We start from the raw sequence: 17,525 nt of genomic DNA on the forward strand, positions 1-17,525 counted from the left end.
TTTAAACTTCCGGCGCGGGCTCTGCGGTGGCACAGGAGGGTCCTCCAAACTTTCCTGCGATCTCAAAGGTCCAGATTCCACATTGGGGATGGGCCCAACTGACTTTGCTTCGCTCTCATTAGCCGGTGGTCCTCCAGGAAAGCGGGGCCGCCTCTCCGCTGTGCTCTCATAGGCCCAGGTTCTTGCGTTCGTGTGTCCTTCTCTCACTCTGATTGGCCTATATTCCCCCTGAGGGTGTGGCCAAATCTCATTGGCTCTCGCGCCCGAATGTATGACGTCATGCGCCAGCGCCCGTCGCTTTTGCTGGACGTCATCCTCGGGAGCCCACCCGGACGAAGGGGGAGAGTAGACAGCAGAACCAGCGGCGGCGGCTAAGCAGAGACTGTAGTAGCGGCGACAGCGACGACGGCAGCGATGGCTGGGGCGGGGCCAGCCCCGGGACTCCCGGGTGCAGGAGGACCCGTGGTCCCGGGTCCTGGCGCTGGCATCCCGGGCAAAAGCGGCGAGGAACGCTTGAAGGAAATGGAGGCGGAGATGGCCCTGTAAGGCCCGCGACAGAGAGTGATAAAAGTCGTCCCAGAGCCAGAGCCACCGAATCTCGGAGCCTCCAGGCCTCGATAGGCCGGAGATACGGCTCTAACATGGGGAAGTGGGACCTTCGGGATTGTGGGGGCGGGGATAGGGGAGAGGTTGGCAGGGGTGAGGGTCCCCTCGCGATATACCCACAGTTCCAAAATTGGTACGAGGTCCTGAGCGCTGATGTCTGTTCTACTCCTCCAGGTTTGAGCAGGAAGTTCTGGGGGCTCCAGTACCTGGAATCCCAACTGCTGTGCCTGCGGTGCCCACTGTCCCCACGGTCCCCACAGTAGAAGCGATGCAGGTCCCAGCGGCTCCTGTGATCCGCCCAATTATCGCGACCAACACATACCAGCAGGTACGGCTGAGCTAAGGCATGTAAGTCAGGGAACACAATGCCTCGAACAGAGTAGGTGTTTGTGTACAGAGAGCTGTTGACGTTTTGGCTTGTTGACTAATTAGCATGACAAATATTTTATATGCCAGGCACTGAGAACACAGTAATGACTGAGAGAGACATTTCTGCCCTGTGGGAGCTTATATTCTAGAACATGTTGTCCAGTAGAGCTTTCTGCAATGACGAGACTGTTCTGATATATTTAAAATTTATATTTAATAGTTCGTTATTCTCATTAGTCACATTTCAAGTGCTCAGTAGCCAACTATATATGACTAGTAGAGAAAGAGAGAGAAATTATTAAGATGAAAATAGGCTGGGCGCTGGGCGTGGTGGCTCACACCTGTAATCCCAGCACTTTGGGAGACCAAGGCGGGCAGATCACGAGGTCAAGAGATCGAGTCCATCCTGGCCAACATGGTGAAACCCCATCTCTACTAAAATTACAAAAATTAGCTGGGTGTGGTGGCACGTGCCTGTAGTCCCAGCTACTTGGGAGGCTGAGGCAGGAGAATCGCTTGAACCCAGGAAGCGGAGGTTGCAGTGAGCTGAGATTGCGCCACTGCACTGGAGCCTGGTGACAGAGCGAGACTCCGTCTCAAAAAAAAAAAAAAAGCCCTGAGGCAGGTGCATACCTGTTGTGTTGTTGTGTTCAAGGAACAGCAAGGAGACCAGTGACAGTGGAGTGAGCAAAGAGGAAAGTGGGAGGAGATAAGGACAGAGAGGTGAGGCCAAATCTTGTAGAGCCTTATGGCCATTTTAAGAACCCTGGTGGCCAGGCACGGTTGCTCACGCCTGTAATCCCAGCACTTTGGGAAGCCAAGGCGGGTAGATCACAAGGTCAGGAGTTCAAGACCAACCTGGCCAACATGGTGCAACCCCGTCTCTATTAAAAATACAAAAATTAGGCGGGCGTGTCGGCGGGCGCCTATAATCCCAGCTACTCCGGAGGCTGAGGCAGGAATATCACTTGAACCCAGGAGGCGGAGGTTGCAGTGAGCCAAGCTCGTGCCACTGCACTCCAGCCTGGACAATAGAGCGAGACTCCGTCTCAAAAAAAAGACTGTAAGGGACAAGGGCAGAAGCCAGGAGATGGAGGAAGGGGCTAGTACAGTAATCTAGACAGGAGTTAATGGTGGCTTGGATGGAGGTTGTGCATGGGAGATGGGGAGGACAGGTTGGACACAGTTTCAGTGGGTGCTAAGTGCTGTGGGGAAGATGAAATAAGGTGGTGAGAGAAGTTGCTGCTCAGAGAGCCCTAGTGTGATCCAAAAAGCCTCCCCGAGAAGTGGCATTTTAGCTAAGACCTGAGATAGCCAGCCACATACAGAGCACAAAGCATGAAGCTCTTGGTCTCTTGGGGTGAGCTGGCCGCAGCAGATGGGAATGCTGAGTCAGGCCCCTCACCCTGACCTCTTCCTCGACAGGTCCAGCAGACTCTGGAGGCCCGAGCAGCTGCTGCAGCCACAGTAGTTCCTCCCATGGTGGGTGGCCCTCCTTTTGTAGGCCCTGGTAAGTAAAGAGTAGCAAGGTGAGGGGGTTGGGCAATCAGGCAGGGTGGTAAAAAGGTGTGCACAGGACTCTCCTCCCACCATCCTTGCCTCTCCCCTCCCAACAGTTGGCTTTGGCCCTGGTGATCGGAGTCACCTGGACAGCCCAGAGGCTCGAGAAGCCATGTTCCTGCGGCGGGCAGGTGAGTCTGGGGCCAGGGACCCCCACATTTAATCAGGCACTCTTGTTTACATGACTTCAGCCTCTTGCCTAAATCCTTGCTCTAAATTACCCTTTGCCTTTGATCCCAACTTGATGTTGTCATCCTAAAGCACGAACCTGATCATGTCCTTTCTGATGATGTCAATTTTGTTTTAACCTGATCATTGCAAACCAACCCTCCTGCTGTCAGTCCTAATTCCCAGTTACCACAGCACTTAACACCTCATAACAAGCTATATAATTTCTTATTTACTATGGCTATCATCTTTTGCATCCTCTAAAATAAAAGCTCCATGAGGGGCAGAAGTCTCAGTATCTGCCACATAGGAAGCATTATGTACTGTCTGTTGATGGGATGAACGGACTGTTGAGACAAGCGCCAGGCTTTTCCCCTGGCAGTCACAACCCTACATGACCTTGCTTCTTGCAGGGAGAGATCCCCAGCAGCCCGAACATTTCTGGGATGTGCCAGCAGTGCTTTTGTTAAGGTCCCTTCTCTCCCTGCTCACTGTCACCCAGCTGTAATCTTCCAGCCATCCTTCCCCCCCAGGCCATTTTCTACATTCCACCTTTTGTTCTTCAGGTAACCTTTACTCACACTGTCAATTTGTAGGACATTACTTCCTTATATGTATGAAAAGGATGCGTGTTCTTACTTGGATGTAAAATTCTGGTATAATCTCGGTTAAACCAAACGTGCTACTTATGTTACCTAAATCCTGTTATACTTATTAATCTGATGATCTCTGAGAAGTTGTAATGTCTCTTACTTTTTAGTATGGTTTTGATCAAAATGCAAATCTGACCTACTTCCCCTGCCCAGCTTCCAACCCTGCTGTGGCTCCCCAGTGCCCTCAGGAGGACACCCATGGCTCAGCCAAGAATGCTGTGCTTTAAGAACAAAAAAGCTCTACTGGGGTGCCTGCTGGCTGCTCAGCCCTTCTCATGACACTCTCTAAGCCCCACTACTTCTATTACAGTTACACTAAACTGAAAAGGGAAAGGTTTTGCTTATAAATATTCTTCCTGCCAATAATATTCCCACTCACCCCTTGCCTAACACTTCATTGCCCCTTGGGTCTCAGCTCACAGGTCCCTTTCTCCAGGAAGCCTTCCCTGGGCCTGGCTGGGTCAGAGGGCTCCCCTCTCTTAGCACTGATCCCACTGCCTGGGCTTCCCTGCTTCCAGCGCTGGTCCCCACTGGCTCTCCTTCTCTAGTGATGTCTCCATTCCCTCCTCCTCTGGACCAGGAGCTCCCTGAGAACCCTGGGTCTGTTGGTGTGTCCCCAGCATTGCCTGCCACAGGGCTGAGCCAGAGGAGCTTCTCAGTGGTAAATTTTCATGGAATGAACCAGGGGAGAGGCCCCCACATCTCCAGGAGGGCTCCCCAGACTCTTCTCCAGGATTTCTTGATGCTGAGAGTGCACACACACACACGCATGCACACACACACCTTGTCCCAAGTGCCCCTGTCCCCCATGACACACACCCCCATCTCTCTCTCCCACAGCTGTGGCCCCCCAGAGGGCCCCTATCCTGCGTCCAGCCTTCGTCCCCCACGTGCTACAGAGAGCAGGTGAGGGGCCAGGGTCATCATCCCTGCCACATAACTCCCCCCAGGCCCTGGAACTCCCCACTAACACCCTGACAGATTCCGCTCTCTCCTCTGCAGCAGCCGGCCCCCGCCCTATGGCCCTACGGCCCCCTCACCAGGCCCTCGTGGGCCCCCCTCTGCCTGGGCCCCCTGGACCACCCATGATGCTGCCACCAATGGCTCGGGCTCCAGGGCCCCCGCTGGGCTCCATGGCTGCACTGAGGCCCCCTCTGGTGAGTGTGAACAGGGAACTAACGGTCAGATGTGCGGTGGACGGGGAGACCATCCATCCTGGCCCAATGGGCTATGTCTGAGTTGGCCTCTCTCCTGACTTTCTGTTTCTCTACCTTCTCACTCTGCCTTTGTCTCTGTCTCTTTCTGCATCTTTCTGTGGCAAAATCTGTTCTCTCCTTTTGTGAAGGGAGTACAGAGAGAAACATGCTATTGGAATATTTCTCTTTTGATTGTTACTGATGTTCTTGTCTGTGGCTGTCTCTCTCTGCCTGTGTTTCTCCTTCTCTGTGTTTGTCTGGCTGGAGACTCTCTGCTTGGGTGTCTCTTGGCTGCTCTCTGGCCCCCAGGCCCTTTCTTTGTTGGATGGAATGGAGATGACAGTAAAGTCTGAGCCTGTGAGCCGGCCCCCCTCATGCTCTCCTCTTACCCACAGGAAGAGCCAGCAGCACCCCGAGAGCTGGGCCTAGGCCTGGGGTTGGGCCTGAAAGAGAAGGAAGAGGCAGTGGTGGCGGCGGCGGCTGGGCTGGAGGAGGCTAGCGCGGCTGTGGCCGTGGGGGCAGGAGGTGCCCCAGCTGGCCCTGCAGTCATTGGGCCCAGCCTGCCGCTGGCCCTGGCCATGCCATTGCCCGAGCCTGAGCCCCTGCCCCTCCCGTTGGAGGTCGTCCGCGGCCTCCTGCCCCCGCTGCGCATTCCTGAACTCCTGTCCCTGCGTCCTCGGCCCCGGCCCCCTCGGCCAGAGCCACCCCCAGGCCTCATGGCTCTTGAGGTAAGCAGGGAGCCTAGCGGTGAAGGGACAGAAGGGACGGGGGGCAGACAGGAGCCCAGGAACTTCCACACAGACAGACCGGACAGCAGGAGGACCTGGGGGAGGGAGGCGGACACATGTGCCCCACATCCAGAAGCACATCCAGCCCTTACTGTGGTGGCAGGAGGGCCGGGGACCAAAGGACAGTGGGAGACCCCAATACCAACCCCTTTGCACCTCTCCCCTTTCCTCTGCAGGTCCCAGAGCCCCTGGGTGAAGACAAGAAGAAGGGGAAGCCAGAGAAATTGAAACGGTGCATTCGCACAGCGGCAGGGAGCAGCTGGGAGGACCCCAGCCTGCTGGAGTGGGATGCAGGTAAGCTGCTGAAGCTCGAGGTCAGGCGTGGCTCGGCCAAGGTCAGACCAGGCTGCTGTCCTTGGGCTGCAGACTGGGAGGGTGAACCCTCTCAGTAGGGTGGGCGCTGTTGTTAGCCCACCTTGGGGAGGGGAGGCTATGGCTCAGGGGCTGGTTCTTCACCTAGCCATGGGCCGGAGCTTGGTGGAGGTGACGGGGACATGGGGCTTTGTAGCCTGTTTTACTCATGAGGTGCCTGGCTTCAGAGAGCATTCTTTTTTTTTCCCAACTCTTAGGATAAAAATTTTTTTTTTTTTTTTTTATGAGACAGAGTACCACTCTGTCGCCCAGGCTGCAGTGCAGTGGCGCAATCTTGGCTCACTGCAGCCTCCGCCCCCCAGGTTCAAGTGATTCTCCTGCCTCAGCCTCCCAAAGTGCTGGGATTACAGGCATGAGCCACTGTACCTGGCCGGGAAAAATTTTAAACACAGATGGCACAGTAAACACCCGTCTACCCACCACCTAGATTCTGCAATTAACATTTTGCTGTGTTCACTTTTTTCCTCTTTGTGTATGTATCTGGTTTCTTTGTTTTTAGCTCAGTCATTTGAAGCAAGTTATAAGTGAATTAATCACTTCTAAATATCTCAGTATTTATCTCCTAAGAAAAGAGATATTTTGGCCAGGCACGGTGGCTCACACCTGTAATCCCAGCACTTTGGGAGGCGGAGGCAGGTGGATCACTTGAGGTCAGGAGTTCAAGACCAGCCTGGCCAACATGGTGAAATCCCGTGTCTCTAAAAATACAAAAAAATTAGCCAGGCTTGGTGGGAGGCACCTATAATCCCAGCTACTCGGTTGGCTGAGACAGGAGTATCGCCTGAACCCAGGAGGCAGAGGTTGCAGTGAGCCGAGATCAGGCCACTGCACTCTAGCCTGGCAACAGAACAAGACTCCATCTCAAAAAAAAAAAAAAAAAGAAAAGAGATACTTTTTGCATATCATAATACTATTATCAAGTCTAAGAACATTAACTAATTCGGTATCTTCTTTTCAGTTTATATTCGTATTTCCCTAGGTGTCCCAAAACTCTGTTAGAACTATTAATGTTTTTGCCCTGAACCAGCATGCATGCAGTTTTATGTCCTTCAATTATATCTTTTTTTTTTTCTTTTTTTTTTTTGAAACGGAGTCTTGCTCCATCGCCCAGGCTGGAGTGCAGTGGCGCAATCTCGGCAGCTCACTGCAACCTCCACCTGCCAGGGTCAAGTAATTCTCCTGCCTCAGCCTCCCGAATAGCTGGGACTACAGGCGCGCACGACCATGCTTGGCTAATTTTTGGTATTTTTAGTAGAGACGGGGTTTCACCATGCTGGCCAGGCTGGTCTCGAACTCCTGACCTTGTGATCCGCCTGCCTCAGCCTTCCAAAGTGCTGGGATTACAGGCATAAGCCACCACGCCCAGCCTCGATTATATCTTAATAAGAACGGTCTCTTTCCTGCCTCTTTGTTTTGTACATATTTTTTGAAGTGTCCAGGGCAGTTGTCATGTATGATGTCCCACCTTCTGAGTTTGTCCGGTTGTTTGCTCCTGGCATTGCCTAACTTGTGCTTAGAGTGTCCCATATCACAGACGCCATGGGGCAGCCGTGCAATGGCTGAGGAAGGAGATGGACCCCTCCTGCTTCAGTGTTTGACTTCCACCCCCTCTCCTGGGACCGTCTACCTGGCCCAGAGAAGACCCTAGCTCTGTGACCTTGGGCAAGTCACTTAGCCTGGTTTTGTTTTGTTTCTTCTTTTGTTTTTTTTTTTTTTCTTTTTTTTGAGACAGAGTCTCGCACTGTCACCCAGGTTGGAGTGCAGTGGTGTAATCTTGGCTCACTGCAGCCTCCGCCTCCTGGGTTGAAGCAATTCTCCCACCTCAGCCTTCCGAGTAGCTGGGATTACAGGCACCCACCACCACACCCAGCTAATTTTTGTATTGTTTAGTAGAGATGGAGTTTCACCATGTTGGTCAGGCTGGTCTTGAACTCTTGAGCTCAAGTCATCCACCTGCCTCAGCCTCCCAAAGTGCTGGGATCACAGGCGTGAGCCACTGTGCTTGGCTCACTTAGCCTTTTAAGCCTCATATTCCTCATCCCCTCCCTTGTGGGGACAGGGATTCATTGGGACAGAGCATGTTCAGTGGAAGCACAGGCCCAACTCAGAGGCAGCATGAGAATGTCAGCTGGGTGCAGCCATGGCGGAGGAGCAGGCAGCATGTCCAGGTCTCAAGGGGGAGTTAGGGCAGGCCTTGCCAAGGAAGCAGGGCTGAGGAAAGATGAAGCCCATGTTCCTGAGGTGCCATGACGGGCAGCCAGTGGGTGACAGGGGTCCAGGGGACCAAGGGACACCAAGGCTCAGAGGAAAGGCCAGGGCTAGGGCAGAGTTAAGGGTGTTACTACAGGAATGAGTGAGGTGGCCCTGGGGTGGGGAGGGCAGTGCAGTTCAAGGTTAAAAGTAAGGACTGGAGCCAGATGCCTGAGCTCTTGTCTTAGCTCTGCCGCTTCCTGCTTGTGTCACTGTGGGCAGTGACTTCACCTCTCTGTGCCTCAGTGTAAAAGCATGGTTGGGAGTGCCAGAAATGGAAACACCCCTCCAGGTGCCAGCAGAGCTCCTGGCGCAGGGTCAGTAGGTGTTGACCATTATTACTAAGAGGTCCCTAGGCAGAGACTAGATACCTCCGAAAAGGTGGGATCGTTCAGACAAGGTAGACACTGGGCAAGGCCTCTGCATCCTCTGATGTCATCTCTTCCCCATCCCCAGATGACTTCCGGATCTTCTGTGGGGATCTGGGCAATGAGGTGAACGATGACATCTTGGCACGCGCCTTCAGCCGCTTCCCATCCTTCCTTAAGGCCAAGGTGATCCGTGACAAGCGCACAGGCAAGACCAAGGGCTACGGCTTCGTCAGCTTCAAGGACCCCAGCGACTACGTGCGCGCCATGCGTGAGATGAATGGTGGGTGCGGCCTCCCCTGGGAACTGCAGGCGCGGCAGGCGCTGGCCTAAGCCTGACCCGAGCCTGCCTTGAACCCTCTGTCTCCACAGGGAAGTATGTGGGCTCGCGCCCCATCAAGCTTCGCAAGAGCATGTGGAAGGACCGGAATCTGGACGTGGTCCGCAAGAAGCAGAAGGAAAAGAAGAAGCTGGGCCTGAGATAGGGTCTGTGGCCAGGCACCCGCTCCCACCTGGCCGGGCGCTGGCTCCTCCCTCAGTTCTCTTTGGAAAACCCCCAGCTGTCCACCCATCCCCTGCCCCAAAACCAGTTTCAATAAATTTACGTTCATTTCCACCCCTGGCTGGGCATGGAAGCACGCTGTGGGGAGCAGGGCTTGGCTTCCCCACAGCTGGAAATGGCGGGGAGCCTTGAGAGTTTACCCAGGCAAACACCCAGGCGGGGGCTTCTGAGCCCTTCCTGCGCACCCATTCCCTCTTCAAACCTCTTCCACACATGCTGAGTGCTGCTTATTCCAGAGGAGAAAGGGGGGCCAATGGCAAGGGTGAAGCCAAGCTGAGGCCCATCCCCGTGTCCTGGCTACTTCCTGTGTTCTCAGCACCAAGGTAGGAGATCTAGGCCCTTCCCTTCTGGAGCTCACAGGCTTCTAGGCCCTCTTCCATCCAGCAGACTCTCACCAAGGGTCTGAACAGTGCTTGAGGACACAATGGTGACTAAAAGTCCTGGGCCCTGCACCGTTAGAGCTCAAGGTCCAGTGCAGAAAATAGGCCCGGTGCCCTGACGATAAGAGCCCAGAGTGGTCAGGGCAGGATGGGGGCGCTGACCTGTGGGTGAGGGGGCCCTTCCTGAAGGAACCGTCCACCCCCAAGTCTCCTCTGGGGCTTTCCAGCTTCTCCAGTCTGCCATGCCCAGCCAGCTCACCATGCTCTAAGTCTCGGTGGGCACCTCTATCTCTGTCTCTGTGGGTACCCCTCCATTTCTTGTCTCTAAGCTTCTATATCCCTGTTGGTCTCTGTTCTCTCCCTTGGAGCTGGGAAATGAAAAAGGAGGAGAGACCCACAGATAGAGAGAACAGAGACTTGGGGTCTGTTCCCCTCTCTTCCCAGCTCCAAGCTGGCCTCTGCCTGTCTGAAGAGGTGTCTGTGCAGGGCCTTGAATGCCAGGCTGAGGGCTTAAGCTTTACGCAGAAGGCAGCAGCAAGCCCCAAAAAGCTGAGAAAATTCAAGCAGCAGCAAGGTCCTGGGCAGCACAGATGTGCGCTGTAGAAAGGGCCCTGTGACCGGCTGGGTGCGGTGGCGCACGCCTGTAATCCCAGCACTTTGGGAGGCAGGCAGATCACTTGAGGTCACGAGTTCGAGACCAGCCTGGCCAACATAGTGAAACCCTGTGCCTACTGAAAAATACAAAAATTAGTTGGGCGTGGTGGCGGGCACATGTAGTCCCAGCTACTTGGGAGGGCTGAGGCAGGAGAATCGCTTGAACCTGGTAAAAGGAGGTTGCAGTGAGCTGAGATCGCGCCACTGCACTCCAGCCTTAGTGACAGAGTGAGATTCTGTCTCAAAAAAAAAAAAAAAAAAACGCCCTGCGACCACCACTGTGGCTGGAAGTCTAGAAGGCTGGGGCAGGGACTGGGCCAGAGGAGGGAGATGGCAGGTTTGAGTATGGGGAGGAGTGGAGGGTCTCCCAGGGACACAGCCATCGGAACCCTCCATTAGGAGGGAGCAGGTTGGGCAGGACTTTGTGGGGCATAAGTCGGGGGATGGACAATACCAAGGCCTCTCAGGGACCGAGGTCCCCCAGGAGAGGTGTCGAATTTCTCCTGTTCCTGTCTTCCCCGCCTTACTGCCCCCTCTCTGACGTCACATTTTCCAGTCTGGTCAGAGGGTGAGAGCCTCCCTGGCAGGAAGTGCCCTTTAGCCCCCTGCCACCTGGGCCAGACCACCCAGCCCCAGGATCCTCAAAGCCCCTTCCCCCCATCACTAGTCTTTTCTACCCCTGACCCCCCTTGTACTGACAGCAAGCATAGGGTCACGGGAGGAGATGGGAAGAGAGGATGGCTCCAGAAAGGACGCTTCCAAATGCATGTGATTCTCACTTCCAAGTGGGAGCAGAACAGCAGGTACACGTGGACATGCAGAGTGGGGTAACAGGCACTGCAGACTCCAAAAGGTGGGAGCGTGGGGGAAGCTGAACAGTTACCAGTTGGGTACGTTGCTCACCATTCGGGTGCACTAAAGGCCCAGGCCAGTATACTGGATATACTGACATATATCCAGTAAGGAATCTGCACTTGTACCCCCTAAATGTTTATCTTTTTTTTTAATGCACACAAGTCTTCCTGAGAACAAGAAGAGACACACACACATAGAATGTGGCAAGCAGAGGTAGAGATGGCGCTGTGAGCAGGAGGCTCAGAGGCAGAGATGAGAACCATCAGAGACTGTGCAGTGGGAAGGGGGACGGGGAGAAAACCAAGAGACAGATGGAGACGGACAAGGAGATGAGATAGGAACACTCAAAGACAGATGGGGAGGGACAGAGATGTCAGAAGAGACCAGGTGACAAAGCCTCACTGGAGTCAGGCCCGTGGCAACAGAGACCCAGCTTTAGATATGCCAACCTGAAGAAAGAGGGCAGAGAGACATGGAGAGACAGACAAGAGGCCAGCTTCAAGGATGGGAAGCCAGGACTCCCTTCAGGCCTCCGCGCTGGACGGATAGAGGGACCAGTGATGCTCCAGGGCTCTGTGGCTTACCCCACACTGATTCCAATCCCAGTCCCACTCCCACTCCATGGGACCCCCGGTTTACTTTACTGTAAAATGGAAGGAGGAGCAATGCCACCCGCTCTCCAGAACGGCAAGTAGTTAATGATCAAGAGGCTGGGCTGGGGACTGGAAGATGCCGATATGCAAAAGTTATTTTTAATGGTAAATATTACATACTTATTAAAATACAGCAGGATGGCTGGGCACGGTGGTGGCTCATGCTTCTAATTACAGCACTAAGGCTAAGGCAGGTGGATAGCTTGAGGCCAGGAGTTTGAGACCAGCCTGGCCAACATGGCAAAACCCCATCTCTACTAAAAATGCAAAAATTAGCCTAGGCATGGTGGCTCACGCCTGTAATCCCAGCACTTTGGGAGACCGAGGCAAGTGGATCACTTGAGGTCAGGAGTTCGAGACCAGCCTGGCCAACATGGCAAAACCCCATCTCTACTAAAAATGCAAAAAATTAGCCGGGCATGGTGGTGCTTGCCTGTAATCCCAGCTACTTGGAAGGCTGAGGCACCAGAATTGCTTGAACCCGGGAGGCAGAGGTTGCAGTGAGCTGAGATCGCACCACTGCACTCCAGCCTGGGCGACAGAGTGAGACTCCATCTCGAAAAATATTTTATATATATATAGGACACCCAGTTATTGAATTTTACGTGAACAATTTTATAGTTTAGGTATGTCCTAAATATTTCATGTATGTATGTATATGTTACATGTATAGCTGTGGTTTTTTGTTGTTTTTTGCTGAATTATTTGAGCAAGTTACAGACTTTTTTTTTGTTGTTTCTTTTTTTGAGATGAAGTTTCGCTCTTGTTCCCCAGGCTGGAGTGCAATGGCATGATCTTGGCTCACTGCAACCTCCATCTCCCTGGTTCAAGCAATTCTCCTGCCTCAGCCTCCCGAGTAGCTGGGATTACAAGCACCCGCCACCACGCCTGGCTAATTTTTTGTATTTTTAGTAGAGACAGGGTTTCACCATGTTGGACAGGCTGATCTAGAACTCCTGACCTCAGATGATCCACCCGCCTCAGCCTCCCAAAGTGCTGGGATTACAGGCGTGAATCACCGCGCCCAACCACAAGTTACAGACATTATAACATTTCATCTCTGAGTTCATTTTCTAAATGATATCTTTCCTCCTGAATACCATTATCAAATCTAAGAAAAGAATTCTATGATATTTCATATTCAGTTCATACTCCAGTTTCCCCAATTGTCCTAAACTATTACAGCGCGGAAGGGCATGGGGTCTGGAGAAGGAGAGCAGTGGGAGGATGCCTGCCTTACCTTCCCCCTTCATCAAATGAGAGTATGTATTGTACTTGCCTCATAGAAGGATTCAATGAAGGGGTATGGCACAGTTGGTTTCACACAATGAGCCCTCATTTAATGTTGGCCGTTATTGCTACTATTGTTATTGTTGAAATTGTTGATGTCAATATTGCTATGATTGGCACTCCTGGGAAGCAGCCCCAGGACGCCCTCCCTACTGGGCCTGGTGGAGGATTGGGTGGGCCTTCACTCCTGCTCCACGCCCCCGCAGTTACTCTGCCGATTGTGACGTCAGCTGACGCTGGGGGCGGGTGGGGGAATCTGGCCGGAAATCCCTCTTCCTGTTGCAGATAAGCCCAGCTTAGCCCAGCTGACCCCAGACCCTCTCCCCTCACTCCCCCCATGTCGCAGGATCGAGACCCTGAGGCAGACAGCCCGTTCACCAAGCCCCCCGCCCCGCCCCCATCACCCCGTAAACTTCTCCCAGCCTCCGCCCTGCCCTCACCCAGCCCGCTGTTCCCCAAGCCTCGCTCCAAGCCCACGCCACCCCTGCAGCAGGGCAGCCCCAGAGGCCAGCACCTATCCCCGAGGCTGGGGTCGAGGCTCGGCCCCGCCCCTGCCTCTGCAACTTGAGCCTGGCTGCGACCCCTGCTCTGACGTCTCGGAAAATTCCCCCTTGCCCAGGCCCTTGGGGGAGGGGGTGCATGGTATGAAATGGGGCTGAGACCCCCGGCTGGGGGCAGAGGAACCCGCCAGAGGTGAGCGATGAACTGAGGACTAGATGCCTGGGTGTCTGGGTTAGGAAGGACCTGGGGGACTAGACTCCCAAGAAGCCGGGGGCCTGGACTCCTGGGTCTAACAGAGGAAGAGAGCTGGGGTCCCTCACTCCCAGGACCAAGATTTTAGGCTCCTGGGGAAGGAGGGAGCGGAGGCCTGGACTCCTGGCTCTGAGGGAAGCTAGGGCTGGGGCCCAGACTCCAGGGCCTCCAAGTGTCACCAGCTCACCCATTGCCATCTGGACTTTTCCCGACCCAGAACATTCAGAAGGCCTTCATCGCATCCATGGACCTGTGGAACTGGGATGAGGCATCCCCACAGGAAGTGCCTCCAGGGAACAAGCTGGCAGGGCTTGGTAGGCTGCCGAGGCTGCCACAACGTGTGTGGGGAGGGTGTCCAGGTGGGGCCTCTGCTGACCCTAACCCCTTATCGCCTGCAGAAGGAGCCAAATTAGGCTTCTGTTTCCCTGATCTGGCACTCCAAGGGGACACGCCGACAGCGACAGCAGAGACATGCTGGAAAGGTGGCTGCGGGCTGGGACCCCTAAGTGCTGGAGAAGAAGCGGGGAGGCTGGGATCCTAGGGCAAAGGGAGGAGGGGGGCGTGCCTAGGTTCCTGGGACTGGGTGGGGAGGGGCCGCGTGCTTGACCCCTGAGGGTGAAGGAAAAGGGGGCGCGGGGTGCTGAAATACGGGCTGGGGGGCCATAACTCCCAGTCCCTGACAAGTAGAGACTAGAGAGTGGGTAGTTGAGGGGTCTCTTTCATTGCTCACAGTCCTCCCTAAACTCAGGTACAAGCTCATCCCTGGCAAGCTTCCCACAGCTGGACTGGGGCTCCGCGTTACTGCACCCAGAAGTTCCATGGGGGGCGGGTGAGTGTGGGGAGAGGCGGTGGGAGGTGGGGACTGGGGTCCCGAGGCACCGGGGCTAGAGGTGTAGACTCCCTGATCTTTGAGGACTGAGAACACCTGCGCCCTCAAGGTGGCATGACCTGGATCCGGGTCAGCCGGGCCCCAAGTGCCAGGGTTGAGAGCTTAGACCCTAGAGTTTTTGAGGGGGCACCTGGGCTCCCCTCACTCGGGATCCGTTACTCCTCACAGAGCCCGACTCTCAGGCTCTTCCGTGGTCCGGGGACTGGACAGACATGGCGTGCACAGCCTGGGACTCTTGGAGCGGCGCCTCGCAGACCCTGGGCCCCGCCCCTCTCGGCCCGGGCCCCATCCCCGCCGCCGGCTCCGAAGGCGCCGCGGGCCAGAACTGCGTCCCCGTGGCGGGAGAGGCCACCTCGTGGTCGCGCGCCCAGGCCGCCGGGAGCAACACCAGCTGGGACTGTTCTGTGGGGCCCGACGGCGATACCTACTGGGGCAGTGGCCTGGGCGGGGAGCCGCGCACGGACTGTACCATTTCGTGGGGCGGGCCCGCGGGCCCGGACTGTACCACCTCCTGGAACCCGGGGCTGCATGCGGGTGGCACCACCTCTTTGAAGCGGTACCAGAGCTCAGCTCTCACCGTTTGCTCCGAACCGAGCCCGCAGTCGGACCGTGCCAGTTTGGCTCGATGCCCCAAAACTAACCACCGAGGTGAGAGGGCCGCAAAGACTGCGGGGAGGGCGAAGCTGGAGTCCTGAGCCGGGACCCAGGCACCTAAGGGGGCGGGGCCCGGGAGACTGACAGTGAGGGGGCGGGGGCTTAGGGACCAGGGGCTCGAAGGAGGGGCCGGTGGCCCGCACTCCAGGTCCTTGGGGAGGAGAGGGCTAAGAAACTGGTAGTCTTATAGGGACCAAGGGGATGAGGACCCAGGCTCCTGGATTATATAAAACGAAAGCGATAAAGGCCCAGATTCCTGGGTCTCCGAGATGGGGAGGCCAAACTCCTAAATCTCTGAGACTGGGGCCCTGGACGCTTGAGTCTCCAAGGCTGACTGTTGGATCTCAGAGAAGGGGGGGCGGATCCCCTTCTCGGGTCCTGGGTCCCGAGTTGGGAGGACCCGGACCTCTAGATCATTGAAGTGGTGTGATCTAGGGCCGGGAAGACTGAGTGTGCCCCTCCCTTCATCCCGCAGGTCCCATTCAGCTGTGGCAGTTCCTCCTGGAGCTGCTCCACGACGGGGCGCGTAGCAGCTGCATCCGTTGGACTGGCAACAGCCGCGAGTTCCAGCTGTGCGACCCCAAAGAGGTGGGGCAGCTCCCCTGCCCAGCCAAATCCGCCCCGTCTCTTCTAGTTCAATTTAGCTCCGCCCAAGGGCTAGGTTCAACCGCGTAGCCCTCGGCCCCGCCGCTCCCCGGCCCACTCGAGGCCCCGCCCAACCCTTCTCAAACCCAATCTCCCGCCTGTACTCCTGCCTCAACCAACCCAGTCTCCACCGGGCTCTGCGAGGCCTCGCCCAGGTCTGCACTGCACACCGCCCCCAGGCCCGGCCCTCCCCACTATCGCCAAGCCCCGCCCCTTCCCACTCCGACCGAGCGGGCCTCTGTCCTAGGTGGCTCGGCTGTGGGGCGAGCGCAAGAGAAAGCCGGGCATGAATTACGAGAAGCTGAGCCGGGGCCTTCGCTACTACTATCGCCGCGACATCGTGCGCAAGAGCGGGGGGCGAAAGTACACGTACCGCTTCGGGGGCCGCGTGCCCAGCCTAGCCTATCCGGACTGTGCGGGAGGCGGACGGGGAGCAGAGACACAATAAAAATTCCCGGTCAAACCTCTTCGCGCGTGCTCCTCTGCAGCATTCTTCCCGCTGATACTGACTACAGCAGCTAGGGAGCCTAAGTGTGCAGCTCCACATGTTGGAATTTGGCCTCCCCACCTCGGAGACCCAGGCGTCTGGGCCTTCATCTCTTTCCTCTCACATGATCCAGAGGCCTGGATCCTTGCTCGCTAAAAGACTGCAGTGTCTTAGTCCTCTTCTCCCTGAAGACCCTGAAGTGCGGGCCACCAGCCCCAAGTCCCTTAAGCTCCCAGGTCCCTAAGCCCCGCCCCACGCTGTCAGTTTCCCCGGTCCCGCCCCCTTAGGCCCCGCCTCTCGACTCCGCCTTCACTCCCTCCGCAATCTTCGCGGACCTCCCTCCTCGGTGGTTAGTTTTGGGATGAGGAACCACCCACCTCCAGTGCTGCGCAATGATCAAAGGAGACCCAGACTCAGGGAGCCTGCCATGTGCCCGCCCTGTGATGAGAGAGGCAAAGAAACTAAACCCAAAGCCCATAGGGCCTACTGTGTCCCTGCCCTGTGTCGGGATTTGTAAAGGAATCAGACCCAATCATGAGAGTATATCTGCTGTGTCCCCTTGAAGAGAAGACTCAGACCCTGAAAAGGGCTTACTGTGCTGTGTGTCCTCCCAGTGCAAGGGATCATCAAAGAATTAAAACTAGTGCTTGCACCCCAACACCACTCACTCTTTCCCCACTCCAAGCTGGAGGACACAGGACTCAGACCTACACTGTAAAGAGAGCCTACGCCATTCTGAGAGCCACTGAGCCCCTAAAGAGAGCCTGCTGTCTGTGAGCGATGCGGGGGATACAGCAGGGACCAAGACAGCCCTGGACCCTCCCCTTAAGGAGCTCACAGTCCAGTGGGAAGACAGACCCATCATCAGAGTGTTTTGACCTGGGATGAGAAGACTCCAGGGGACTGAGGGAGGCCAAAAGGAGAGACCTGATCTAGCCCAGGAGGAGAAGGGTCAGGGGAGACTCCCTGGAGGAGGAGACAGCTGATTTGAGAAGTCAGGTAGGCAAAGAATGTTTCAGGCAGAAGGAACAACAAGATCAAAGGCCCAGAGGCAGACGATCTCATACCACTGCTCAAAACTATCAGTGTGGGCCAGGCATAGTGGCTCACACCTGTAATCTCAGCATTTTGGAAGGCTGAGGCAGGAGGATGCCTTGAGGCCAGGAGTTCCAGACCAGCCTGAGCAACATAGGGGAGACCCCCATCTCTATTTAAAAAATTAAAAATAAACGTGGCTACAGCAGCAACAGGGACCAATTCATAAAGGATCTGTGGGCCGTGGTGAGGAGCCTGGACTTTGTCTCCAGGGCTCCTGGGGAGCCATCAAGGGTTTTGTTTGTTTGTTTGTTTTTTGAGATGGAGTCTCACTCTGT

At 55.5% G+C, this 17,525-nt stretch overlaps 2 protein-coding genes across 9 annotated transcripts, besides 5 other annotated features; both read left to right on the forward strand.

Annotated features, from left to right (window-relative positions):
* Window positions 108–402: an enhancer, noted in NCBI's record as "tiled region #5913; HepG2 Activating non-DNase unmatched - State 1:Tss, and K562 Activating DNase unmatched - State 1:Tss". NCBI's record gives its function as "activates a minimal TATA promoter and a strong SV40 promoter by Sharpr-MPRA in HepG2 and K562 cells {active_cell/tissue: HepG2 | K562}" and the evidence as "EXISTENCE:reporter gene assay evidence [ECO:0000049][PMID:27701403]".
* On the forward strand, window positions 297–8,946 carry RBM42 (RNA binding motif protein 42). Of its 2 annotated transcripts, NM_024321.5 has the most exons (10): window positions 297–542; window positions 781–934; window positions 2,401–2,485; window positions 2,592–2,666; window positions 4,197–4,262; window positions 4,338–4,513; window positions 4,948–5,280; window positions 5,517–5,634; window positions 8,419–8,613; window positions 8,703–8,946. In NM_024321.5, exons 1-10 carry the CDS (start codon window positions 415–417, stop codon window positions 8,813–8,815), a joined length of 1,443 nt encoding a protein of 480 aa, NP_077297.2. In that variant the 5' UTR covers window positions 297–414; the 3' UTR covers window positions 8,816–8,946. The 2 variants fall into 2 exon arrangements, with proteins under 2 accessions (NP_077297.2, NP_001306042.1); NM_001319113.2 differs by lacking the exon at window positions 4,197–4,262 and having other exon boundaries at window positions 4,359–4,513.
* Window positions 8,947–13,005: 4,059 nt separating this feature from the next.
* On the forward strand, window positions 13,006–16,132 carry ETV2 (ETS variant transcription factor 2). Of its 7 annotated transcripts, NM_014209.4 has the most exons (7): window positions 13,006–13,417; window positions 13,695–13,791; window positions 13,876–13,959; window positions 14,226–14,306; window positions 14,535–15,014; window positions 15,496–15,608; window positions 15,913–16,132. In NM_014209.4, exons 2-7 carry the CDS (start codon window positions 13,722–13,724, stop codon window positions 16,111–16,113), a joined length of 1,029 nt encoding a protein of 342 aa, NP_055024.2. In that variant the 5' UTR covers window positions 13,006–13,417; window positions 13,695–13,721; the 3' UTR covers window positions 16,114–16,132. The 7 variants fall into 7 exon arrangements, with proteins under 7 accessions (NP_055024.2, XP_005258709.1, XP_047294360.1 ...); XM_005258652.3 differs by having other exon boundaries at window positions 13,695–13,959; XM_047438404.1 differs by lacking the exon at window positions 14,226–14,306.
* Window positions 13,162–13,877: an enhancer, noted in NCBI's record as "H3K27ac-H3K4me1 hESC enhancer chr19:36132803-36133518 (GRCh37/hg19 assembly coordinates)". NCBI's record gives its function as "activates a minimal SCP1, AML or CMV promoter by ChIP-STARR-seq in primed H9 embryonic stem cells {active_cell/tissue: H9 hESC(primed)}" and the evidence as "EXISTENCE:reporter gene assay evidence [ECO:0000049][PMID:30033119]".
* Window positions 14,531–14,810: a silencer, noted in NCBI's record as "silent region_10530". NCBI's record gives its function as "represses an Ori minimal core promoter by ATAC-STARR-seq in GM12878 lymphoblastoid cells {active_cell/tissue: GM12878}" and the evidence as "EXISTENCE:reporter gene assay evidence [ECO:0000049][PMID:35858748]".
* Window positions 15,621–15,960: a silencer, noted in NCBI's record as "silent region_10531". NCBI's record gives its function as "represses an Ori minimal core promoter by ATAC-STARR-seq in GM12878 lymphoblastoid cells {active_cell/tissue: GM12878}" and the evidence as "EXISTENCE:reporter gene assay evidence [ECO:0000049][PMID:35858748]".
* Window positions 16,601–16,700: an enhancer, noted in NCBI's record as "active region_14489". NCBI's record gives its function as "activates an Ori minimal core promoter by ATAC-STARR-seq in GM12878 lymphoblastoid cells {active_cell/tissue: GM12878}" and the evidence as "EXISTENCE:reporter gene assay evidence [ECO:0000049][PMID:35858748]".

The sequence above is a fragment of the Homo sapiens genome, chromosome 19, assembly GCF_000001405.40.
Source record: "Homo sapiens chromosome 19, GRCh38.p14 Primary Assembly".
Classification (NCBI taxonomy): domain Eukaryota; kingdom Metazoa; phylum Chordata; class Mammalia; order Primates; family Hominidae; genus Homo; species Homo sapiens.